The following is a 26,237-nucleotide window of genomic DNA, read 5'->3' as shown; positions in this document are numbered from 1 at the left end:
TCACACAGACCACAAAGGTAATTTGCTACTTTTAACACTCAAATGGCAGTTCTCATGTGCTGTCTACATCCCTCCATTAGTTAACTCTTGAGCATACCTTAAGAATAGGTAGGTTTTCCTGGTTAGCCTGAAACACTGCCCTGTTACAAAGACCTGCAATTCTGGACAGAGCAAGCCAGGTAGCTGAAGTCTTGTCAAAAGAGACACCTGATGGAGGCAAGAAAACACAACAGAACAACAATGCATTAACTTCAAAGGCTGTGTTCTCAGTTCTCCTATTAAAGTCCCATAGAAATCTGCAGTGATACATCTCATTTCCCAATTAATGAAACCAATCACATTTTAGGCATTCTTCAGTCACGTTTGTAGGGCAATTTAAAGTTTCTACTGACATGCAAAAAATCAATATCCCATACCCTTGACTCTTCACTAAATGATAAAAAAAAAAAAAACAAAAAAGAAAGAAAAAGCTGCCATGAGCTTAAAAAAAAAAAAGAAATTTCATGCAATTTCTTAAAAGAAAAAAAACCAAGCGAAGTCAGCAGGTGGCTGAGGTGTGTGGTAACCCTGGCCTTACCACTCTGATTCTCTGTCGTATCAGCTTCATGGATTTGATTGTCAAACCACATGTGGGCCACTGTCATCCGGTTCTGAGTCAGAGTTCCAGTTTTATCAGAGCAGATGGTGGACGTGGACCCCAAGGTCTCCACAGCTTCTAAGTTCTTCACTAAGCAGTTTTTCCTTGCCATGCGTTTGGCAGTAAGTGTCAGACAGACCTAAAAAATATTAGGAAGATTATTACTTCACTCAACCAGGCTGGAATTCTATACAGATTCTTGCTATATCCTAATGTGGAAGAAATTTGTCTAAAATTAAATCTCTCCAACCTTCTTCTGAAGTTTGAAGAAATAATAAGGGGAACCCATACATGAGGCTTCCCCTTCCTTCCAGAAAAGCAATCTATTAAGAAAAATAATAACAGGATTCTACCATATTCTATCCCCCTACTTGATCCCAAGTTCTTCTCCTTTCTCCACTGCACTGTTCAGGACCACGTGATAATTTAAAAGCAAAATGTATGCTTTGGGGTTATCTTACGTATAAACAAATGCTGAGGTTTTCTCACTGTCAAAATTCACCACGTGATGTGGCTCTCAAGAAGAACTATATCAAACATCCAGAATAAAACATAAGTTGGCAATACCTTAGAATAGGATAGCGGAAGAGTGTAACATTCGTGCAAGCTGATCTGAGTCAGGGTGACCATCACCTGCCTCTTACCGTGACAGTGGCCAGCAAACCTTCCGGCACATTGGCTACGATGATACCGATGAGGAAGATGACAGCCTCAAGCCAGGTGTACTCAAGGATGAGAGAAAGGATGAAGAAAGACACACCCAGGAACACAGCCACACCCGTGATGATGTGGATAAAATGTTCAATTTCTGCAGCAATGGGGGTCTGGCCTCCTTCCAGCCCAGAAGCAAGTGTGGCAATTCTTCCCATCACAGTGCGATCCCCAGTGTAGACAACAATACCACGTGCGGTGCCTTAAAAAGAAGGGGAGGGAGAACTGTACCTAATTGTATCTAACCTGAAGGAAGCCACGGATTTTACACAATTACATAGGATGACTAAAAAAACAAAAAGAGTTGATAAAAGCACTTTTTAAGGGCCAGCTCTTTGGCTGTACATGCTGTTTGGCAAAGGGACTTCTCTCCAGTAGCAGGACAGCAGCTCCAACACCCATGCCAGACTGGTGTTGTTGACAGAAGAGGCAGGGTGGAGGTGGAGGGAAGGGAAACTGCCACAAGGTTTCCTGCCAGCTAGGAAAACACCTCTGCTCTGTGCTTGACACAAGTTCTCAGAAATGGAGCCAATAAAACAAGAGATTGTGCCTATGGTTTTGATTTTGTTAATGCCCAAGAGAAATACCACGCCATGCTCAAAGTGCCCAAAAATGGCCTACCTTCAACACAATTGGTTGAAAAGAAGGCAATGTTCCTCGTCTCCAGGGGGTTTTCATTTGTGAAATCTGGAGACCTAGTCTGGGGTTCTGATTCACCAGTGAGCGAGGAGTTATCCACCTATATGTGAGGAAAAGAAGAAAAATGTCATGTGAATACACCAGCCTTATCATGGGCTACTGTACCCCTCAAATCAAGCTGCCCGAACAGCAGAGCTAGCTATGAGGTTTGTTAAAATAAAAGAGCTACCTTGCAGCCATTTGCAGATATGATTCTGAGGTCAGCAGGAATTCGGTCTCCTCCTTTTACTTCCACCAGATCCCCAACCACAACTTCCTCCGCATTTATGCTCATTTTCTCACCATTTCGAATCACAAGGGCTTGCTTTGGAAAAGAAACAATTTACACCGTTAGTATACCAACAAAGAGAAGGTAGTGTCCAAAACAAGAAAATAAAAATAGTCATAATCCTAATTACCTGAATACAAAACAAAGATATTATTCACTTTTTTATTTACACAAGTTACAAAAGCTTGCTCGCCAGTTTAAGAGATATTGCTGTTACATGGTGTGCCTGTATTCAGAGTTTACATTCAAAAGAAAGGCTACCACTTTTTGGATAGAAGGAAAATAGGTTGGTTTTGGGTGGGGTAGAAGACATCCATCTCTCTGATGAGTCATGTAATACTTGGAAAACCTTAACTTCACACTAATTCACAGGCTGACATGCTTGGGGCTGTCAAGTCATCCACTGGGGAAGGACAAAGCGTCTGGTACCTGAGGGACCATGTTTTTGAAGGATTCCATGATCTTTGAACTTTTAGCTTCTTGATAGTAGGAGAAGCAACCAGTTATGATTACAACGGCTGATAGCACCACACCCAGGTACAGCTGGAAGGGAAAAGACAAGTTAGGGCCCGTGGCTCTACACAATAATTAGGGACATTCAATTAATTTTTTGACTGAATAAAAAACAGATTTTTAATAGAGAAACCAAGATTTCAGAAATATAGAACTCATGTTTTCTTATTTATCCTTCTAAAGACCACACAGGAAGGGTCAGAAATGGAGTCAGGCACACCAACACTTGATCACTAACTGGACGTTTGGAAAGGTTCTAGATGCATCAGTTTCTCCTGCTTTATAAAACAAAGATTGTTTTTCAACCAACTTGTGGATTTTGAAGAATGGCCACCAAGCATTTCTGGACAGGTGGATGTGCCAACATGAATCGCTGTGCTCTGCCATCCAGTGGGTGGCGGCCGGGGCCTGAGCAGAGCTGCCTGCTCACAGCAGCACATGCAGGTGGGCATCCCACTTGTAAGAGCATCTACAACGTGGGTGGTAGAGAGAGGAAATGGAAACGAAGGAAGAATGGATGAGCCTTGAAGGCAACAGCTGTTCATAACCATTAAGTAATGAGTTCATAACCATTAAGTAATGAGTGGTAATTGAGAAGAAGTGGGAGACAAAGACGGAGAAGATATCTGATGTGTACTACAAATCCATATGCTGAATTACAGAACTCACATTATCGTTTTGAGGTTCCTCTTCTGTAGCAGCTTGGATGCTATAAGCCAAGAAACAAAGAATCGCTCCAATCCACAGTAACATTGAGAACCCCCCAAAGAGCTGCCGACAAAACTTGATCCATTCAGGAGTAGTGGGAGGGGGAGTGAGGGCGTTGGGACCATCTCGCGCCAGGATCTCAGCTGCACGAGCAGATGTTAATCCCTGAGAAGCAGTGGAATATAAATAAGGCAAACTGTACCAGCACTTACAAGGCAATATACCTACCTGGTAGCTGGACGGTTGCAATAAGGATTTAAGGAAGAAACAAAATGTCCCAAGCTAGAGAGCCAAGGTAAAACCTAGCAAATTCCTCCATGAATAATTCTGCTGATGAGCCAGTCCCCACAGGGTTCAGGCAAACAATAGGCCCAAGGAACTCATAACACCCAGATTAAAACTCTTTAAATTGATCCATCAATAAATTTGAATTCAGCCTGGTTTCTTCTAAGTTTTAGATCAAGGGATTAATGCCAAATTGCATTTCTGCCAAAAAGGTATCTATTTTCACAAATCCATTCAGTTTTGCAAATTAAGAGCTTTGGGTTTTCTGTGTATTGATTTTGTCGGGAGGGGAAAAAAAACCCCTCTACAAACATCAAAGGAGAAAAAAACTTCCTGTAGAAATCCTTTGGGTTAACAGCCAAGTTTTAAATATACAGCTTGATTCTTTGCTTGTCTGGCAGGGAAGGGCTCACCTCCATGTGCATTTTAGCCACCTCCCAATAAACCTGTTGACTGAAAAGTACTCACTGGAAAAAACCACTCTACTAAAGCCTGCTATTTTTCTAATGGGCCTTAAACCCAAGATTCACTGACAGCAGGCAATTACATATAAGCTCTCATTAAGAGAGGAAAATATGATCACTTTTATACTCTCAAAATAACAAGTCAAAAAAAAAATAAAATATTTTTGTCTAAAGTATCTATTTATCTGTGTTTTGTGCTCATGTTACCAAACATTTGAGTGCTATCTACATGCCAGGAACTGAATTCAGTGCTTTAATTAACTTGTTTAATTCTCATGACAATCCTTTTTTAGGCATTATTAACCTCATTTTATAAGTAAAGAAATAGACCCGCAGCATTTGAGTAATGGGCATAGGTCGGAGAGAGCACACTTCATTAAGACTCTAATAAAAACTTAAGTGAGATGTGAAGTGGCTAGAGACTGCCTGGCACAAAGTAAGCACAGAGTCACTGTTGGCATGTTGTTCTGAGCTGACTCGAGGCCTCCTCTTGGAGCTTAAAGTGCTTGTGTCAAGAAAAACGCTCTCAACCTTGTTCTTCTCTCCTTTTTTTTTTTTTTTTTTTTTTTTTTTTTTTGAGATGGAGTTTCACTCTTGTTGTCCAGGCTGGAGTGCAATGGCACAACCTTGGCTCACTGCAACCTCCACCTCCCAGGTTTAAGCAGTTCTCCTGCCTCAGCCTCCCGAGTAGCTGGGATTACAGGCATGCACCACCATGCCAGGCTAATTTTGTATTTTTAGTAGAGACGGGGTTTCTCCATGTTGGTCAGGCTGGTGTCGAACTCCTGACCTCAGGTGATCCACCAGTCTCAGCCTCCCAAAGTGCTGAGATTACAGGCATGAGCCACCGCACCCGGCCTCTTCTCTACTCTTACACCCCAACAATCAACACAGAAGATGACTTCTGTGAGCAAAGGTGTGGCGGTTTCTCCCCACCACCAAGGTTTCCTCCAATTCAATTCCAACACTATCTACCTGGAAAATCAGAAAAGTGGAACAAGATTAGAGTCCTGCCTTGCGACAGGTGAAAAGGAGGGCAGGAGAGAGATCCTGTTTCTTGAAGCCTGCCACTGAGGTCTAACACACCCAACATTATAACAAACGACTGTAATAAGGGCTATGGGAGTTATGAACCAGGAACTGTGGACAAAAACCAATATATATCAGAATACCACAGTACCCATGTCTCTTGATGCCTTACTGAAAAAATGCTACATATTGGCTTGCTATTCAAGTTATTCCCAGACATTTCAGTGATTATCTGGAAATAAGACATCCCTAGACTATTTACTTTTATAACATTTGTTACACATTTAATATCAAAATCCTCTACATAACAAGGATACATAACGCCTATTTTATGAAAAGGTTTCTTTAATTTTTGTACAAAACAATTTCCAACTAAATGATAGAATAACTAAACAAATGATAGTATAACCATAACACACTGCAATGGGCTAGCTGGGAAAAGTGCAAAAATGGGAATTGTTGAAGATTCAACTAGGTGAAAGATTCAACTCTATTTAACAAATGTAGAAAAATAAAGGGAAAATTTATCATCAAAAGGTCAAGGCATAAGCATGGCTTTGAAGCCAACTGCAAGTCCTGGTGTTCCCACTTACTGGCTCTCAACTGCTATAAAATAGGGAAAAGAAAATAACATCTACTTTCAAAAAGTTTCAGGGAAAAGAAACGGTAGCATATAAATGCCCAAATTCTGTGCATGTCACATGGTAGATACGCAGATGGTGTCTGTCATTTTCTTACTAGAGCCCCTGAGGTTAGACCTGTATGTAATACAGGGGAAAATATAATACGGAAAACTAGGATTTTGTACAACAGCTTTCAAACTAGAACATACCCGGCTCAAGTCTGTTCCATATTTACGATGAAGTTCATCAAGGCTAAGTTTATGATCATCCTAAGGGAAAACAGAAACAAAGAAAATAGTTAAACAGTGTAGTATAAAAAAATGACAGAAAAAATAGCATTATTCATTACTATCATTAAGCTTATTAAACAAAGTGCAGATGTTTTCTTCAGTGCATAAGTTGGTACAATTTTCACCATCGCTTTGTGGCTTTGCAACCACACAGTTATCATTGACAGCTCTTCACTGGAGAATGGCTAAAGCTGAGTGACCGTGGCCCATTACTATTTGCCATAACACTTCAGAGAAACCCAGCAGCTCTCAGGGATCTAGTAAAACCTTATCTGCCTTCTCTGATGACCAGGTCGATTCTAGACAGGTTAAGTCTATGGAAGCTTCCATCGCCTGGAGAGGCTGAATTTCCCAATGTTTGATATAATACAGAGAAAAGCAAAGACTCATGGTATCAACCTAAGTTCCTTCTGTTATCTCTGGTTATGCCAGAGTGACTGAATAACTTTTCCTACCCTCTAACAGCTTTTAAAAAGTATATGTTCAACATTAACCTCTACGACTAGATGAGATCTGTACAGCTGCTATGATCTCTTTTAATATATAGCAGTTCTTTGAAGAATACAGTGAGGCCTGGGGGATTAAAAATCATGGATTTTTAATAAGGATGGAATACAATATTCCTCCTAGTACTTACCATAGAAACTTCTTTCTTCAGTTCATCCATGTCCCTGTCTTTTTTGCCCTTTTTGCCCTTTTTATCACCTTGTTCTGAAACAGCTGCAGGCTCATACTTATCACGTCCAACCTGTAGGAGAATGTGGGAAAAGTGAGGCCATGAATTATGAACCTCATCTGAAACTGAAAATTCTGGAGCAGGGGATTTTGGTAGTTTTTAAGGTAGTCATAATTTGGAATAGTCATTAAGATAATAGTCAGGAAAATGTATACCCATATATTGCCTACTACATAAGCAAAGCAATCTACTATTAATACATTGGCTCAAGATACATTCTCTCCATCCAAGAGCATTAAGAACAATACTGAAGCTACCGGTAGGCTTCAGAATGGCCCTGCCAGTGCCACTTCCTTTTGGGGTTAATGAGGAGATTTTTGCTATCAAAATCCCTATTCTGCAGCCTTCCATCTTCCCTACTGAAAGAATGAAACTAACTTTACATTATTAACTTAGAGTGCAATATTGTGCTTATGAGTCCGCATTCTCAATCAGACAGCCTTGAGTTAAAATCCTGGGCTTTACCACTTACCAGCAGTGTATCCTTAGGCAAGTTACTAACTTCTACATTTCAATTTCCTCTTCCACAGCGTGGAGATAAAGAATAGTGCCAACCTCATTTCATGTTTTTAAGGATTAAATGATACAATACATCTAAATGCTAGTACTTTTATACTGTTTATATTCTTTGCTTTGCAAAGACATTATTACATATCAAATTTAAATATCTTTAGTGCTCACATAAGAACACTGACCTTTACCAGCTTCCCATATTAAAAAGTCAGCCTAAGACTCCTTAAAATTCTTTGCATAAGAGATAAAAAAGGGAGCGCCCAGCCCATTCTGTAGCCTGAAAATAAAACCTCCAAAATGAAAGTCTCTGGAAATGTTTTGACATAAGCAGGATGTAGGAAAAGCGTGTGCATTATCACATAATTCACAGGATCCACCTACGCCTCTTGAAAACTGGAACAATTTTTAAAGAAAATGTTGATTCTATAGTTTAAATTTAGATTGTTCCACTCCCCCACCCCTGTTGAAAAATCCTTGAGCTTATCTACACAAAGCCTGAACTTGGTGCTCCAAAGCTTAGCGGAGCAGAAGAGCCCCTTGTTCCAGACACCTCCCCCTGAAGCAGCCTCCCACAACTACAACTTAAGGCCAAAAAGTAGACATTAGCAATTTTCTTAAAATGCATGACATATGGTGCTATTACTATTATTTTGTGGTTCTCCTTTACTCATTTCTAACTTTCCTAAGTGCATTACCAGCTACTAAAGCAATAATTAGGAACTCGTGTCCAGATTATAATTTCACTGTGCTGAAATGAAAAAAGAAAATCAAAACGTATTATGTGTGTTTCAGTCATAACTAATAGTTGCAAATAAAATACATTGTTCACTTAAATTTAAAAATATCCTCTTAAGACTCCAAGGAGAAATCCTTCTCCAAATTCACTGGAGTGGGCCACATGTAGAGACACATTATTTACCTTTTTAACTTCTGTGGTCACGTGTGCAGCACTACTTGACTAATAACTTCTTCCAACTGGGTGGGTTCTTTAGTTTCTATCTTATCTATTAATGAAGCAGGTCTAAAGATAGTCAACATTCTTGACATTCTCTCCATTATGGAGCAACCACATTTGTTGGTGCCTCTTTCGGTACAGCTCTTGGTGCCAGAGTTTAAATGAAAAATAGTAACACATACAAGTGGACAAATAAAACAAAAAGGAAAAGGCAGGTCATCTACCAGAAAGGAACCACAGCTAAAGTGGTATATCTTTAGCTTTAATTAAAGGTATATCATACCTTTAATGAGAAAGCACAACACTTAAAAAACATTTTAAAGACATTGACTAAGGATCTCTAAAAGATTTATGTGACCACTTTGTATTAATTTTCTTTTTTTTGGGGATGGAGTCTCACTCTGTCGCCCAGGCTGGAGTGCAGTGGCGCAATCTAAGCTCACTGCAACCTCCGCCCAAGGGTTCAAGCAATTCCCTGCTTCAGCCTCCTGAGTAGCTGGGATTATAGGCGCTCGCCACCACGCCTGGCTAATTTTTGTATTTTTAGTAGAGACGGGGTTTCACCATCTTGGCCAGGCTGGTCTTGAACTCCTTACCTCATGATCCACCCACCTCGGCCTCCCAAAGTGCTGGGATTACAGGCGTGAGCCACCGTGCCCAGCCTGTATTGATTTTTAAAATACAGCTCACGGATTCTCTCTGAGCAAGTTGAATATCATTGAAATATATTTCAATAAATGAAATAGTTATAACCCCTCAGCTTCATAATCTGCATGCTTTGCTTATTCTCAGACTTCCAATATCTTCCACTCCAGAAGAGGAGAGAGGATTACTAGAGCAGCTAGGCTTTGAACACGTTCCAAAGTTTTACCCCCACTTACAAAATAAATGTCTTGCCCATAGCTTCACCACTATCAGTGCTAAAGTTAGTTGGGAATTTAGATTCCCTAATAACTCTCCTTTTTCTTTATCCATTCATGCTAGGTAAGGCAAAGTTTTAAATGAGGCTATTTGTGGGTGAGACACATGGCAAGTATTAACAAGTAAAACTGCTTTTTCTTCAAAATTTTAATTTTTTCACTAGGCAATGTGTGTCTAGAAGAACCAGGCAGCTTATACAATTTAGTTCTTCTCCACAAGTAAAATAATAACTTAATATTAGCTTATTCTTGTGGGAACCAAATATCCTTAAATCCCTATCAGTCTCAATTACCTCAGTCTCAAAGCTGCAAAATTCAGAGTCAGGGAGTGCACACTGCGTGAGATGAACAGTGGTAGAATCAGGTAGGACAATGTTTCCTTATTATTTTTTAAGGCATTAGGGAAAAACAAAGGTCATGGGAAGGGTGAATGATAAATACGGCATTTCCTCAATCAACTACAGTAATCTTCCCACTCATCTGGGCATTGGGCACACACTTCCTACTTTTTCAATTAGAAAGTTCAGGTCACTTCCCCCCTCCCAGAGGACTGGGAGTGATTAATCCTCACTCTCATCATGTTCCATGTAAGGGCACCCCCGCCCCTTTGAGCATCTCTGAGGAAAGGTACAATGGAAACTCAACGGATTACACTATTTTCTAAAGGGCCACTCATAAAAATGAAGTTGGGTTATGGTTTTTTTTTTTCCCCCTTCCATTCTAATTTAGGAAGTGGAAAGTCACAGCAAGGGCAGGGGCTTACCCACGGTGACACAGCTTAGCACAGCGTCATCATTTCATCCTGTGCTTCCCATGGATTCTATCCTCTCAAAGATTAACTAAGCATTTTGCTATTTGATCTGGGTAGAGGGAAAAGGTGCCCAAGACATGAGAAGATAAAATTCTTGACAGGAGGAACCAAGGTTAAAACATGTAACAAGGTTCACTCACTTAAAAATATATACCGAATCCTCACAGTCCTCACAATGAGTGAGACATCCCCGAGACTTGCTAGAGCTGAAGATGTTGCTTCCTCTTTTTTGGCAATTAGCCATTTAATGGGGACAGGGTTGGGGATAGATATGACAGATTTAGAAATTATCCCAAAATAAGCAGGATCTTCCATCCCAGAGGTATATTGCTTCAGGTCTGCATAAGCTATAGCCACCGCCAAAGGCCTTCATACCCATCCCAAACACCAGCCTCCAACAGGGCAGGATGCGAAGGCTTTCTCAACCTGCATTTTTCCCACCATATCAGCACAATGTCCCATGGCCAGCAGGGAGCTCAGAATTCTTGAGACTTCTGAAATTCCTGCTGAAAAAGTTTAGAGGGTACTTGAAAGTTCAAGACCCACCATTCCCTCCAGACAGGTCTGCTAATGGTGTTGAGTCTGCCAATTTATTCTAGTGTTGCCACATGCTGGCTACATGACCTTTGCCTGTCAGCCTTAGTTTCTTCATTCCTAAAATGGGAATAACACTTGGTATAACTATTAAAGAACCTAGAGAAGGCATTTTCATAGTCTGATTAGTCAAGAAACCATTAACTCTGAAAAATAAAACACCTTAAAAACTGGACTATTTCCAAAGCCCACAGACAAAAGCTTTTGACGGGCAAGAAGGGCCAGAAGGATGGCAAAAGGAAGTGCCCCAAATGCAGCCCATTTCGGAGTTGCCAAGAAGATTGTAGAAACAACACCTCTGGACATGATTTGGCAAATACCACTTTAGCAGGAAAGTTGTGTGATGGACTCTGACCTTGCTGGTTCCCTAGAGGCTGCCAAGTCTGGGCTACCTTCAATGTAAAAGGTAAGGGGGAGGGGTGCTTTCTCATTTTCCTGGTCGATACATTATTAAATCATCCAACACAATTGTGTATGTAAAAGTATTCTCAAAGCACTACACAAAGGCTATTATTATAACTTGGTCTTAATTAACATATACATTACTGCCATTTTTCGCTTTCTATGAAAATTCTTTTCAAACCTTTGAAGAAAAAACTCCTTTGGCATTATTTTTCATTTGATCTTAACAGTGAAAACTTAAAGAAAATAACAGTCAAGAAATGATCTAGCCCAGTTTATTACATCTCCATTTGCTCCTAAATGACTAAGTAGTTTAGTTTATGTGCAAGGAATTGTCTAGCCAGGGACTGGAGGGCTAAGGGATGGCCGGGGTTGAGGGAGGACACTGTCATAGTACCATGGCTGCTATCCAGCCCCAGCAGCAGCACATCACTGCAGGAGCAGCAGTTCTCTGCAGAGGAGGTGAGCCTGAGGGGCCACCATGCCTTCATATTCCTTCTCTTGCCCACCCAAATATGCATCCTGGAGAATATAATTTACCAAGGCCAAAGCAGTAGATCCCTTTGTGAGCCCAGTTTAGTATATCCAAACTTGGGCAGCCCAGCAGCCAGCAAGGGTCAAAGAACAGCGACAGTTCTAGCCAGCAGGTTCCCTCAACCCAAAAGAACATGACTTAACCTTCCTCCCCAATCTGCCTGCATGTCAATTCTTAATGAGCCTGACAGCCTACCCTACCTGCAGTAGTGTACATCCATGATCATTCAAAAAATAAAAATTCTAAAAGGTGTAAAGAATCAGTGCACTTTAGATATATTTTTGCTTTTACAGTTATTAAGAACAATCAGACAAAAACTTCAGTTTCTTCAATGGAAAATTCTACCTCTACATTAGGTGCATGGGTTATGAAGGGTTAAAACTTTCTACTTATTCCTTAACTCCCCCTTTCTGCTGACCACCTTACCCTCCTTTTTTTCATTTTACCAGATTGCTCTGGTTAGAGACAACTGATTAATAATCAGCATATGCGTTATGAGAGGACCAGATCAACTCCCAGTAAGTCCTGATCACTCCTCAATTAGTACCCTGAAGCCTAGGCTAGGAAGGAAAATGACTGCCAGGCTGAAGAGGATAAAGGCTGTCCAAGGCCCTAAAGAAATGTCACATGAATTGAAATAATAAAACAAATATGGTGCCATGGAAGCATCATGTGGAAGATAAAAGAAACACACAAGAGGATAACCCCAAAGTGCATTAGGGACCTGCCCCTACATGGTAACAGACTAGAAAGAGCAATCACAGCTCACCGATCTACACAGCAAGGCCCACTGAGTCACAAAATCTTACACTGATTATCAGGCTCCCAAACAATACAAGTCCCAAGGACAAAGCACGAACTATCATGAATCAACTTATCAAATCACTGAGACAGCCAATAGTCATTACTAAATAGGGTTTGAATAAAACTGGAAAGAGATCACGTGCAGATATATTTCATCATAACTCACAAAGGAACTAGTAAGTGAGGTCTAAAACCAGATAAAGAGATTCACTGTAAAGTCACAAAGGAACAAAGGAATGAGGTCTATTGATCAAAAATCCCTTTGCTCAGGATGCAAATAAAAACCAAACCAAAGAGAAAGTGTAGGGTGAAGGGTACTTCTTTCGTAACAGAATCTGCTATCCGAAACACAAAATAAATATGAAGAACTTCTTGTGGATTCCTGACAACAGATTTCAGCACAACTAATGAGGTGAGTCATATGCTAAGAACAGTCTCTCTATGACTCCAGCCAAAGAATACACACTTCCTCTCATACACTCAATTCATAGCAACGTGAGAAAGTTCAGACCTGACTAGGTTCCACATCCCTCCCCCAAAATATATAAATGGAGAGTTTTAAAATGAGTGAGTAGGTTTTACAGTTCTCTCTACTGCACATTATCATGTACTGGACATGTACTTTCAGTGTAATCTAGAATTGGACAGCTCTGGCAGGGATGGGAAACATTTTGCCTGGTGCTTTGCCGTCCAAACCCAGCCACTCTGATTACTGTGAGCCCATCTGATCTGACACTCGGGTTTCTTCTTCTAGCCTGTTGGCTGGCAGAGAGCCCTCGGCAGCTAGAAGAAGTCAGCACAGCACAAATGTTCAGGCTCCCTCTCATCACAGAAGGCCGAAAAGCCCATTTTATTTTGCAAGACTTCAAAAACGTAAAAATGATCATCAACCGCGAACAAAGTCCTTCACCTGAGAAGTGAAAGTAGACAGAAAGATGCTATTAAACAGGAGATTTGCTTGTTGAGCGAAGATAACAGTTGCAATAATGTCAATTGACACCTCTACTTGACTTTCCTATGAAGGGCAATTAACAGTATTTCCCATTATTTTCAAACCTTAATATGTTCTCATGGTGAAAGAAAAACTGCTCTCTAATTTTGCAAGGGCTAATGACTTACTGACGAACAACAAACCCAGTCTGTAAAGATTTGATCTTCTCTTGGCTCTAATTACTGTACCTATGTAAGCCCAATAACAATAGCCACAACTCAGGCTGGCACAGCACTCCTTCCATAAACAGAACATAGATTACTTCACTTGATCCCCAGGATGAGCATTCTATCCAAAAGCCAGATGAGAAACTGAAGCTTCAGGGCTTTTATTTTATTTTACTTTTAAACCTGTTTGTTTTTAAGTGAAGAAACCAATTTTACTTTACCATACAAAATCCTTCAAAGCTATTTTAGTTAAAGCCTTTCTTATTCTTAAGTTTAGATATATTTAAAAGAACATAGCCTGATTTGAATGGAAAGTCACTTATCTGTTCATTTGTTGCTAAAATAATCCGAAAACAATGACTGAGGGTACTGGCATGGAGCATGGATGAGTGCCAAGCCTATTGTGCTATAAGATGTTGAGTTCACTTTTATTTTTGAATGCAATTTAGGAATAACATTCCCAGGAATCTGTATATTTTAAGTGTTAGCCCTCATCTGGGCAAACATCTAACTGAATTTTTAAAGGCATCTTTTTTTTTGTTTTTTTGTTTTGGTTTGTTTTTTGGGCTCTCAGGTTTACCACTCTCTCCCCATCTTCCCAGGTTTAGGAGGCAGGCCTCTCCCTTTCCTACCCTCCCACCCGAAGGTGAGTCACTAGAGTGTTACAAGCTTACTGGCAGGGAACACTACAAATTAACAAACAGTAAGTTACCAAAAGGGGATACACCCTTATAAAAGGGTACAGAAAGAACCTAAGAAGCAGGGAACTGTTACACGCTGAACAACTGACAGGCAAAGGGTGAGGCACAAGTGCTCTCTCCACCCCCCAGCTCTAGGCACTAGTTCTTCCTGTAACTTGCTCCACTAGCTCCCGGCCAGGCCCGGGCAACTTTCCACTCTGAGGCATCTGCCTTACAATGCTTTAAGTCTAAAGTACTAGCTTTATAGCAGCCAGAGGAGCTTTAGTCACACTTTCAAGCTGAGCTCCAAAAGGGCAGCTGATAACATTACCATACAACCAGGATTTCTGCTGACATGTGCATCCCCCCTGCCACCTTCACTGGAACCTTTTTTCCCTGCCCTTCCTTAAATCACTACTCATAAGCTATGATTTATTTTTTCGGTAAATAATATTCAAACTAAATCCGGAATGCAGTGAAAGACCTGGTGAGACCCCCCCTCCTCATCTTTTACACACTTGAGAAGACAAACTTTCCCACATTTCTAAACAGTTATGGCGTGTACCTTTGGTGAGTGAAACAGTTGCCGGTGGTAGGCCTAGCTGACGGTTTAAGCCAAGTCACTGGCAATAAAACCCAGAAAGAAAAAAAGGGACAAAATCCTATTTCATCCAGGAATGATTCAGCAAGAGCTGTTCTTTCATTTTCTTACCAAATGCTTAGGAACTAGACTTTTAAGGACATATAAAATCACCTGAAATATCATCAAAAGCTAGGCCACAAAGGGTACTGAGGAGAGGAGGGGAAGAAATTTACAATGACCTTAAAAATTAGCTGCCGGCACAGGCTTCCTTGTTAGCCAATTATCAGCAGGGCTTTAGTCACTCTCCACCCACATTTTAATCCCCATGTGGAAAAATCCCAACATGAAATATTCTTCTGAACATTTGGACGCTCACAATAAGTCACAGGACAAACACACACACAAACACACACACAAGTAAACTAATGTTTAATGTATCAGAATACTCAAAATGCTAACTACCACCCAGCAGCCAAGCAGCTCATCATCCCAGTGTTCGCAGCTGTAATTTAATCTTGTGTTTGCTAGCCACTATACATTTTGTTGTAAGACATCTGGGTTTAAGCTCTACTAACTATTCAGGTGGGTTACCACCGCATCACTACTGTGCATGTGTGCCTGTGTGTGGTTATAAAGGAGACATCTAGATAAATGGACATAACTTAGTTACCCAAACCATCTCCATGGCCTATTAATTCAACATCACAAATACCCCGTTTCATCCGAAGTTCTGAGTTCTGTATAAAGAACTCAATGTTAAAGAGTAAATGCATGTTCAGGCTTGAGGCCACAGGCTGTTCAAGAATCAGGGACGCCTAGTCTGTCACTAGCCAACCGTTTGACCTTGAGCAAGTCACTTCACCTTCCTAGGCTTGGGGCACACATCTGTGATGTCTAAACCCCCCAAAATTAGCTCAGGAAGTAAACTTTTTTCTTTTTCTTTTAAGGCAGGAGAGACAAAGAATGAGCTTTAAAGTGCATGTTTACAGAAATGATCAAGGGTTTGACGGTGTGGTAAAAGCACAGGCCACTAACCCAGACTCCATCAGGGGAATGGAGAGGCCCTGTACTCCGCTCTTTGATGCCACCTGACCTGGACCAGCCCTCCACGCTGCATGCTTTTAAAAGCGAGGCGAGTTGTGCATTTCCACTTGTGCCTGTTCTCCCCACCAGGTCCAAGCCTTTCAATTACCTCCTTTAAAACTCCCTTAGAGTCCCCAAGGAGTGCAGCCTCCCTCTGCTCCCGACACTCTGTCTACACCCAGAAGCCTCAGGGCCTTCAAAGACCTACTCAGTGTCTGCACTGTGCTAAACCCTGGAGACAACGAAGTGGATTCTCTCCCATTTGTATTCTCATGACATGGTCACTTTCACCCCATGAACTCCGAGGTTATTCTGTGTAAATTTTTCTCAACTAGACTTTGGCTCATTTGGGGTCCAGGGCCCAGTCTCCTGCACGGGTAATAGCTAGGGGTAATCAAGTCTTCGCTACAGAAATGTAGGACAGCGGCGTTGTGACGATATTCCCACCACGCTCCGCGCCGCTCTCCAGCCCCAAGACCCCTCGTTTCCTTCAGGGACCGCCCTTTGGTGCTTCCGCGACGCTGGAAACCGGCAGAGATTCCTACCACCGTATTGCCTGCAGCCTCCAGTCCTTTTTCGGGTTTCTTGTACCCTGAGGCCCTGGTGGGTCTGCCTATCCTCCTTCAGGGCTCGTCCCTTCAAAAAAAATCTGCACGCCTCTCCCCACCATCGGATGACAACTCCAGTTGCCATCGGTGCATCCTGTGTTTACGGAAAGTGGCCCAAGAAAGCCCTCAAAAGTATACCTTAAAGGCCATCTTAGGGCAGTGAAGACACACCCTTTCTGGCACCAGCCCGCCCAGCCGGCTTCGCACTTAGAAGCAGCCAGTTTTTTCTTTGGGGGAGGGCGGCCGCCTCTGCGCGGAGCAAGCTAAGCCCCAGCGTCCCCAGGAGAAGGAGCCCCGAACCCGGAGGCTGCCCCCGCCGGAACCGGGGCCGCGGCGGGAACGGAGGCCCGGGAGGAGGCCCCGGCGGAGCGCCCCAGGGGAAGGGGAGGAGCGCGCCTTTCCTCAGGGCACGGAGGGCGGAGGGAAAAGGAAGGAGAAGGAGGTGACGGCGGTCGCAGGGAGGGGAGCCAGGCTCAGGGATGCCGGCTCAGTCCCGGGGCCGCCCCCGCTGCTGCAAGCCCCCTCCTCCCGGCCCCGAGGCTTCCCAAGCACCGCCTCTCGGAGCCCCCGGCCCGCTCGGCCTCCGGGGCGCGCAGCCCCCGCCCAGGGTCCGCCCACCCCCCTAAGCAATGCCGCGCTCCAGCCCCTCGGCGCTCCCTTCCCCCGCCCCCCGTTACTGCGCTCCCTCCATTTCCAAACTGCGTCGTCTTTTAAGCCGCGCGGCTCTGCCAGCCCACTCCACGCGGCGCCGCTTCCTCCTCCGCCGCCTCCCGCTGGCCGCGGTCGCCCTCCCGACTTCCTCCTCTTCCCCTCGAGGGCTCCCCGAGCCCCCTCCCCGGGCGCGCCGGACACTCACCCCCTTCCCCATGGTGGCGGTGCTCAGTGCCCGGCGCCGGGTCCTGTCGCTGGAGAATCAGAGAGAAAAGCACAGAGCAGCTCCCGGCCGAGCGAGCGGGACCAGGGGAGCCAAGTGGAGGGAGCTAGGGCTGCCGCGGGGCGGGAGGGTGGGAGGGCGGCCGGCGGCTCGGGCCGATGCCGCCGCCGCTGTTGCTGCCGCCGCCCGGGCTGCTACCGCTGTTGCCACGTGTCCGCCTCCTCCCGCCGCTGCTCTGCGCCCCAGACCCCGCCGCAGCTCCAGCCCGCGCCTCCTCCTCACTTCCTAAAATATGCAACCTGCGTGCTGGCCCCGCCCACGCCGCGAAACGTCACCGTTACCGGAGCAACCTGACACCGGCCGTGGGCCTGGCTCCGCCCCCTCCCGAAACCCCGCCCACGGGCCCGGACAGCGCCTGCTGCGGCCAGTCCTGGCTCCCGGCAGGAGGGCGCCCAGGTCTGGGACAAGCGTGTCCACCGTGTCCCGGGAGGGCTGCGGGGCGCTCCTGCTGGCTGAACAGCGGGGACTCGGCGGCCTTGGCCCTCCCACGCCCCTCCTCCCGCTGCCCTGCATGACCCGCCTACTATGTAGGGCCCAGGAGGTCCGCAGTGGGTGCGGTACGGTCTCGGAACTGGGCTCCCCCAGTCGCCGCCGACCCGGCACCAGAAGTCGTGGGCGGAACGGCTTTTCCAGCGCTTCGGCGATCTCCTCTGGGACTCAGGGATGCTGGAGGGGGCTGGCGCTCGGGTGTGATTGCAGCCAGCGCCTGACTGAGGGACTCCGCCCCTCTGTGGAATCCAGGCCCCGCGCCCACCTGCGGATGGCCTCCCCGGGCGCTTGGTGCTCTCAGAGTGCCTCCTGTGACTTGGGGTCCTCTTTATCCACTTCCCGCTCCGTCATAGCTGGAATCGATCTGAACTGGCATCGCCAGAAGTTTCAAGCGCCCTCCTCCCACCACCTCTCTTTCTTCGAGATTCCAAAATGAGAATCTGAAGGGCGACCAGCGAATTCATTCACGCTATTGTGTGAATGTAACCTGCTTGTCCAGTTTGGGGATTCTCTTTTTAGGGAAGAAAAACCTGAAACCCAAAGGAATGCGTATCCTTAGCTAGAGGAGCTAAATCAAGGGGGAGGCGTTTGAGGACTTGCCAGGTGCCTCTCCACGCCTCCACCTGTCACGGCAGCATCTCCAGCACAGCCTTGGGTTCTCTGGGGGGGCCCAGGAAACCACCACTCTCCCCGGAGATCCCTGGTTCCACTGCACTTTGGGGCTTCTCTGTCATTATAGCTTTTGCTTCTTAGCAAGAGGCTGCAATGGCTGAAGTTCTCCAACATTTTAAAAAACAAAGTATTATTAACAAGGTTTGCAGGAAGTCAAGTACTCTGGGAAAGGCCAGGATATTGACTTTCTAAGCAAAGGTTCCTAAGTTAAAGCCAACTCTATCAACTTCAAGTATTCATGTAGCATGAACAAACAAGGATATGAAACTGGAAAAAATGGAGAAGGAAGGAAAGAAAGGAAAAACTAGAAACTGTGTTGTCAGTTACATCATTAGGGTAATTCTCATCCCTTCTTACAAGATAGTTTCTTACACGAGTCTCTTCTCCTCAAGAATGTATTGTTAAAGGTTGATGTCTCCTACAGTGATCTAGAGACTTGGTTCAATCATTCTAGGCCATAGAGAGCAGAGGAATTGTAAATAGAATTCAAAACCCTGACTGCCTGGAGAAGAGCCCCCAAATTCAGAACAGAATTCCTTAGACTGTTAACAGAGGGTTACAGAGTGTTCGGGGATCCATCTCTAAGCTTCTAGAAAATGCTTTCTTTACATGCTTGATAGCCTCAGTTACTGTACTTTGTAAGATGCTTTTGCTTGCTAAAGATAGCTTGTTTAAGATTAATTACTCCTGGGCCAGGCACTGTGGCTCACGCCTGTAATCCCAGCACTTTGGGAGGCCGAAGCGGGCGGATCATGAGGTCAGGAGATCAAGACCATCCTGGCCAACCTGGTGAAACCCCGTCTCCACTAAAAATACAAAAAAAAACTAGCTGGGCGTAGTGGCACATGCCTGTAATCCCAGCTACTCGGGAGACTGAGGCGGGAGATTCGCTTGAACCACAGAATCGGAGGTTGCAGTGAGCTGAGATGGCGCCACTGCACTCCAGCCTGGTGACAGAGTGAGGATCCATCTCAAAAAAATAAATAAATAAAAATAAAAACAAAGATTAATTACTCCTTGGGCCCTGGTCTGAATGGGAAAAGTGCCGCGGCAACAACTAAATATATAAAGCACGGGTCGGAACAACGTAGATTTCTCCTGCCAGCTGATCTCCTTTTTCTCCCCTCATAAGTAAAATTCTCATTCATTCACTCAACAAAATAACCCTGATAGATCAAGGCACTTCCCTTTGTATCTAGAGCTATTTATTTGGCAACTGAAAATTGCTGAAGGTCCTTTCAGGAGGATCCCAGAGTTCTAGCTGTGTTCCGGTGTGAAGAAAGGGCAAAAAATATAAGAAACATTATCTTAAATCTGTATTTTGCTTTTGATGCCACACAGTAATTTCAGATGCACAGTGCCCTTGAATTCTCACAAGTCTTTGAGGTAAAGAAAAAGGTAAGGCATGACCAAGTCTGAGGCGCAGAAGGAAATCTCAGATATGAGAGAGACACCTTGGAAAATGGGTAAGCAAAGGAGGAAAAGTCCTTTTTTTTTTTTTTTTTTAAGAAAAAGCCTTCTTTTCTTCCCTTGGAAGAGTGGCTTCTGAATGAAATGAAACCTTATAGATGAAACATCAAGCTCCCTCATTTTATGATGAAGAAACTGAGGCCCAGGGAGTAATTGGTATTGAATATTCCAAGAATAGTGGCAAGACTTTCAGGTAGCTTTTCTAACTCCAGTGCAGGGGACAAATTTGGATTCTAGAAGAGAGGGTGAAGAAAGCAAAGGCTCTCTATTCTGTCTGCTGCTTATCCTATCAACTCTTTTCAAGCTTCTAACTTGGGGCACAGTTAAACTGATTGGCCTGGAGACTCAGCATTTATAGACCTTAAGGCTGCCAAGTATGGATAGCTTCGAGGAGAATTTGATCACAACTGTGGATGGTTGCTCCAGTCATTGTGAATAGAGTCAGCAGATGTATGAAAAATATGATGCAAGTCAGTTTTTTGAGCCAAGAACGCTAGCACTTTGAGTATTTGCTGAATTGAATAAACACATCATTGCAATTAAAGGCTTTAAAATATGAGTTGGAGCCCACACCAACTTAGCATTTTCCATAGGACACAAAAATTTTGGGGATCTATGAGCTAGAGATCTGGAAGGACAGAATTTTCTTTGGCTTTGTGTGCTCCCGAGTTAGCATGGAAACAGTCATAAGCATGCATCTTTATCCTTTACCTATTTCCCACATTATCCAGAATTTTCCACGTTACCCAGAAAGCCACTCTTGCTGCTTTAAAGTCAACTGTCTTCATCATTCAAAGTTCCCCCTAGCCATTATCTGTGCCTCCATTGCAAATCTCTGTGCCTCCATTGCAAATCTATTTCCTTTTCTTCTGTTCAGCAGCAGACATATCACCTGTCTTTAAAAGCACAGTTCTGGGTGCATTGCTGACTATCAAAATCTGTCAGCAAATAATTCTGACTCCTATAACTTTTCCTCCCAGACTCTCCATTCTTACCTTTTTTTTGGTTTGTTTTTTTTGAGATGGAGTCTTACTCTTTTGTCCAGGCTGAAGTGCGGTGGTGTAATCTCGGCTCGCTACAACCTCTGCCTCTCGGGTTCAAGGAATTCTTGTACCTCAGCCTCCTGAGTAGCTTGGATTACAGGCACGCACCACCGTGCCAGGCTAATTTTTGTATTTTTAGTAGAGACAGGGTTTCACTATGTTGGCCAGGCTGTTCTCGAATTCCTGACATCAAGTGATCTGCCTGCCTCAGCCTCCCAAAGTGCTGGGATTACAGGTGTGAGCCACCACGCCGAGCCATTTCTTTCTTTCTTTTTTTTTTTCTTTGTTTTGAGACGGAGTCTCGCTCTATCGCCCCAGAATGGAGCGCAGCCGAGCCATTTCTTTCTTTCTTTTTTTTTTTCTTTGTTTTGAGACGGAGTCTCGCTCTATCGCCCCAGAATGGAGTGCAGTGGCGCGATCTCGGCTCACTGCAAACTCCGCCTCCTGGTTCAAGCGATTCTCCTGCCTCAGCTTCCTTAGTAGCTGGGACTACAGGCGCCTGCCACCACACCTGGCTAATTTTTTGTATTTTTAGTAGAGACTGGGTTTCACCGTGTTAGCCAGGATGGTCTCGATCTGCTGACCTCGTGACCTGCCCGCCTCTGCCTCCCAAAGTGCTGGGATTGCAGGTGTGAGCCACCGCGCCCGGCCCCCGAGCCATTTCTTAATCCTTTTGAAAGCTCCTTAGTATTCTTTTAAACATATTTTCTCCTGTTAGTGGTGGTTGAAGACTTCAGGTTGTGCCTCTGGGAAACTGGGAAATTTGAAAGAGTCTGCATTTACTTGGTAACTATTGTAGGTTATCACCAACCACAACAGAATCAAGTCCTTGGTGTTTTACTCAGCATCCTTTTAACCCAGCTGCCCTTTAAATAATTTGCTGTTATTAATAGCGGTCTTCGTAAATAAAGCAGTAATAAAGGATTCTTTAGTTGTTTCCTGTGTGTTTTATACCAGATCCTGAGCCAGGATTCTGCCTTCTCCTTTAGCACTCTCTGCCAATACAGTTCTACTCCCCTTACCCTAGTTCACAACACTATGTGATGTTACAATATCCTACATTTAAAAACTCACCAATTGTTTTCTGCAAATCAACAACTACCGAGGCATTGCAACAAAAAAAAAAAAAAAAAAAAAAGAAAATCAAATGGTAACAAAGAAGGGATCTGGACTGAAAAATATTCCACTGCCAGAGTCCCATCTTCATCCAACCAGCAGAGACACAGCTTCAGGCAGCCTTACAGCTCAGAAAGGGCAAGCCCAAAGCTGGGAAGAGGTGGCGGGAGGTAACTGGCATCTAACCCTTCCTGCTCTCCAGGGGGCACAACCACAAGCACTAAGGAAATAAGTGCCATCATCGTGGTGGATAGATTTGCTATTCTTGGCCTTAAACTCTTCCATGGAAAAACAATTGAGAGAGTTCTTTGGAAGTTGGTCCTACTGGGAATAATACTCTTCCATAGATGCCTTTGCATTAAAGCTGGGTTTCAGAGACTGTGCAGATTTTTGTTTCAGTAAAAAGCTACCTTAAGAGGAGAGAATACAAAACCATCAAAAAGTGGTTTGGTTCATTTATAAGAATGGAAGTTTTTGCAACAGCAGAAGTAACCAAAAAGTAGGTCAGGTGCAAAAATAGTAACCAGCTCAATTCATTTTTAACAGCTTATGTTTTACTCTGGAGGCTTCCATTTTGGCGATGGTGACCTCTACATGTGGACTCTTACAAATAAGCCCCTAAGAAGGGTTCCCCCTTTTTTCCCCCTCTTATAAAGAGCATACTCCAATCCTTAACTCTGGTAGTGTATAGTATTTAACAGAAGTAAGAACTAGTTCATGCAAAAAATCAGAATAAACATTATTGAATATCTACTCTGAGCCTAGCACAGTGCTTGTTGCTGTTGTATAAAGATAACTAAGACACATTCTCTACCCTCAAATAGCTCACCATCTGGCATAAAAAAAAGACATGCAAAGAGATATTAGTAACACAGTGAGAGGTGCTGCATATATGCAGGCCTTCATGGGGGCATGAAGGAGGAAGTGGCCAGCTCTGTCTGCAGAGTGGGAAAGGCTTCCCTGGCTGGGATTGTGAAAGATGGTTAGGAGTTCACGGAATGGCAGCATGTTAGGCAGGACCAGGAGGATGCAAGCAAAAGTAGCACATGGGTAAGGTCTTCAGGACAGAAACAAACTGAGTGTTGGAGGACTGGCCAGAAGATTAAAATGGCGAGAGCCTAGGTTGTGAGAGGAATGGCGGCAGGAAGTAAGCTTGGAGAGGTGAGCAGAGTCCAGATTGTGGAGGACTTGGATGCCATCAAAGGGCTTGGACTTTATCCTATGGGCCATAGGGAGACACTGTGGGGTTCTAAGCAGGGGCAGGGCATGATCAGATTTGTGCTTTGGAAAGATTTCTCCAGTAGATATGCCTTCATAGCCAGCACATTTATGAAAGCTTCTCTGATCACATTATTGAATTCAGAATCTCAAGATACCTATATCTCCTTGTATATTTTTGTCATAGTATGCTAATTTTATTTTCTTCCTTTTCTTGTGCACACACAGGCAGCATGCCTTAACTCCCATTACCATCCCTATTATCTACTACTTCTCTTGAACAGAAGCTTTTGAATTGCTGGATATGATGAAAAACTGGAATTAGGACATAATTTTAACAATTGGTCAACATACAACTCCCTAGCCCTCAGAAGATAGTTCAATTTGCGGGGATGGCTCAGGCATTTTATCTGATTTCCTAGTGTTTTTTGCTAAGGTGAATTCCAAATAGGCCAAGGACTTTGTTGGTTTCCAGTTCTCTCAGAGTCCAGTGCTTGATGCAACTCCACTGACTAAAGAAATGTTAAGCTGCCTGGTAAGCAATCTCACATTTGAAGACCGAAATTATAGAAGATAAAGAAAAGAAGGAAGAAACCAAGTTAATGAAAAATTTAGCTTCAATTGTCCAAATACTGAGGTGAGAGGGTCACTTGAGACCAATGATTCAAGACCAGCCTGAGTGATATAGTGGGACCTACCTCAAAAAAAAAAAAAAAAAAAAAAAAAAAAAAGTTGTCCAAATAGCTCAAGTTAAAGATGTCCCTGCCTAACACATCTCAGCTTTTTGCTTTTTTGACAAGTCCCTGTTAACATTTGACGTCTGGTCATGGACACAGTGTTAAGAGTTAACAGTGGAGACAGAGATGGTGGTGGTGGTAATGAAAGTGATGGTAGGAGGTAATGGGATGGTGGTGATGGAGGTGGTGGACCCAAAATAGCTGATCACATGACAGGATTCTAACCAAATACCTTCTTCAAACAATGTATGTAAGCATGAAGCTTTTTATCTAGAAAAACTATCTAACTTAGTAACTCTACCAGTGGGCTGCTATGAGAAACAATTGACATGATATACTTAAAGCACTAGAACATTGCCTGCCATGTAGTAACTGTTCAAAGAGGGTAAGCAATTATCTCGTCTTGATTCCAAATTCCTACTTAGCCTGGGAGATATAAGGTCCAAGGAAGAATGAAGGCAGCTACAAAATTTGTCTACAGGAGGAGAGAATGAGAACAGAATTTACTTTATGCTGGCTCACCTTTTCCCACGTCAATCTCCTTTATCCAACAAAGAACCAGTCTACTGAGACACAGCCAGCCAAGTGCACCCAGTTGGGTGGTAGAGGTCAGTCAGCACTCCACCTGTCTGAACTGGTCTGGTTATTACCAAACTTCAGGCGAGGACCAGGAAAATAAGTCCACTAAAACGTCAGAGCCGTAGCCCAGCTGATTGATTTTCACCTTCAGAATAAGAAGCCTGAATATCCAGGATCTAGACTGCACGGGCTTCCTCAGGAGAAAGAAAGCATTGTCTCTAAATGCAATTTAAAACCTTTAAAACCTTTTCTTCTTTTTCCTTTTTACTTAAAAAAAAAAAAAAGATACCATCTGCTAATGCAATCACTAATTAGTGAGAGAGAGTTATTCTAGCTTCCTAAGAACAAACCCAAGAGGAGGCTGAGTTTCAGGACCGTCACTCCTGCTCCAGGAATAAGCAGCCGAGTCAGGCAGATACAGTGCTGCAGGCTGGAGCTGCAGGGAGCTGGCAGAGGCCAGGGACCCAGTTCCCTCCCCTGCCTCTAATCTCATAAACCAGAAGTGCTCAAGCTCAATGTATTCTTTTTCCCCTCTCATTTTTCATAATGGAAAAAAAAACGCTGTTAAAGTTTTGAATTAAGAAACAGTTGCCATCTGGGTAATTGAATTCTGCTTGAAGCAGGCCACCTGGTTCACATCAGCGGCTCTTGGCAGGTATGGAAGTGTCAGCTAAGGCCCTGCATTGACTTCTAAACACAGGCTCACATTCCATGAGCAGTGGAGAAACCTTAATTTCAAAATAGTGAAAGCGGTTTTATATCAGGTTACCTCAATGCATGGTAGATTTCTTAGGCTGGAGACATGTCAAATTATAGCAGTAATGATTGGTCATGTCCATTCCTAGCCACATGCTGCCTTAAAAAAACTGCAAAGCCAGTTCCCTTTGGCTTCCTGTTTGGACATTCATGTCACAGAAATATGTGTGACTTAAATCACCTTGCTCTCCTAGAGGACTCAGGAGGCTGAGAGTTTCCAGCTCCTCCAATAGTGGAGAGAGGAGTGGGCAGCCTGGGAGAGATGTCAAGGATCTACCTCAGGTTTGGATGCCAAATCCTACCCTTCTCTGCTGCTTTCTTCATTGCCAGTTTACTCCTGTTCCTCCAGGGGAGGCATAATCATGCAGCATGAACGGTTTGTGGAAGTGCCGTCCTGTTCCCCCACCTCAGACTCTCATTTATTAAGTCAAATATGCACCTCCCCAGCCAGAGCGGTCTGGGCCAATGATGCTGTCCATCTATGTGCACAGACAGAGCTGATGTCAAGAGAAAGGGTTGGCTAGGACAAGATATAGCATAAAACAGAACTGCTATGAACTTGGGTGGTCTTGAGCAAGTCCTCTGAGTCCATTTCCCATGTGTCTGAAATGTCT

The 26,237-nt window shown here is 43.8% G+C and overlaps 1 protein-coding gene across 3 annotated transcripts in view, besides 5 other annotated features; it reads right to left on the bottom strand.

The window, feature by feature from the left end:
- The window catches only part of ATP1A1 (ATPase Na+/K+ transporting subunit alpha 1), a 31,531-nt gene extending 13,786 nt beyond the window's left edge, over window positions 1–17,745 (bottom strand). The window contains exons 1-10 of one of the 3 annotated variants that reach the window (NM_000701.8): window positions 17,466–17,745; window positions 6,865–6,975; window positions 6,147–6,206; window positions 3,498–3,701; window positions 2,745–2,858; window positions 2,217–2,351; window positions 1,970–2,087; window positions 1,282–1,550; window positions 578–776; window positions 98–207 (exon numbers count right to left, since the gene is read on the bottom strand). In NM_000701.8, coding sequence (NP_000692.2) covers window positions 98–207; window positions 578–776; window positions 1,282–1,550; window positions 1,970–2,087; window positions 2,217–2,351; window positions 2,745–2,858; window positions 3,498–3,701; window positions 6,147–6,206; window positions 6,865–6,975; window positions 17,466–17,477 — 1,332 coding nt within the window. In that variant the 5' untranslated portion in view covers window positions 17,478–17,745. Of the gene's footprint in view, window positions 1–97; window positions 208–577; window positions 777–1,281; window positions 1,551–1,969; window positions 2,088–2,216; window positions 2,352–2,744; window positions 2,859–3,497; window positions 3,702–6,146; window positions 6,207–6,864; window positions 6,976–7,435; window positions 7,620–16,747; window positions 17,123–17,465 lie in introns of those variants that run through there. The other 2 variants (NM_001160233.2, NM_001160234.2) reach the window with 2 other exon arrangements.
- Window positions 704–763: an enhancer, noted in NCBI's record as "active region_1561". NCBI's record gives its function as "activates an Ori minimal core promoter by ATAC-STARR-seq in GM12878 lymphoblastoid cells {active_cell/tissue: GM12878}" and the evidence as "EXISTENCE:reporter gene assay evidence [ECO:0000049][PMID:35858748]".
- Window positions 13,117–13,166: an enhancer, noted in NCBI's record as "active region_1560". NCBI's record gives its function as "activates an Ori minimal core promoter by ATAC-STARR-seq in GM12878 lymphoblastoid cells {active_cell/tissue: GM12878}" and the evidence as "EXISTENCE:reporter gene assay evidence [ECO:0000049][PMID:35858748]".
- Window positions 16,369–16,488: an enhancer, noted in NCBI's record as "active region_1559". NCBI's record gives its function as "activates an Ori minimal core promoter by ATAC-STARR-seq in GM12878 lymphoblastoid cells {active_cell/tissue: GM12878}" and the evidence as "EXISTENCE:reporter gene assay evidence [ECO:0000049][PMID:35858748]".
- Window positions 16,859–17,158: a silencer, noted in NCBI's record as "silent region_1230". NCBI's record gives its function as "represses an Ori minimal core promoter by ATAC-STARR-seq in GM12878 lymphoblastoid cells {active_cell/tissue: GM12878}" and the evidence as "EXISTENCE:reporter gene assay evidence [ECO:0000049][PMID:35858748]".
- Window positions 17,589–18,118: a silencer, noted in NCBI's record as "silent region_1229". NCBI's record gives its function as "represses an Ori minimal core promoter by ATAC-STARR-seq in GM12878 lymphoblastoid cells {active_cell/tissue: GM12878}" and the evidence as "EXISTENCE:reporter gene assay evidence [ECO:0000049][PMID:35858748]".

This window comes from Homo sapiens, chromosome 1 (assembly GCF_000001405.40).
Source record: "Homo sapiens chromosome 1, GRCh38.p14 Primary Assembly".
Lineage (NCBI taxonomy): Eukaryota > Metazoa > Chordata > Mammalia > Primates > Hominidae > Homo > Homo sapiens.
Note: the sequence above shows the minus strand (reverse complement) of the source record. Positions and strands in the feature narration are given on the sequence as shown.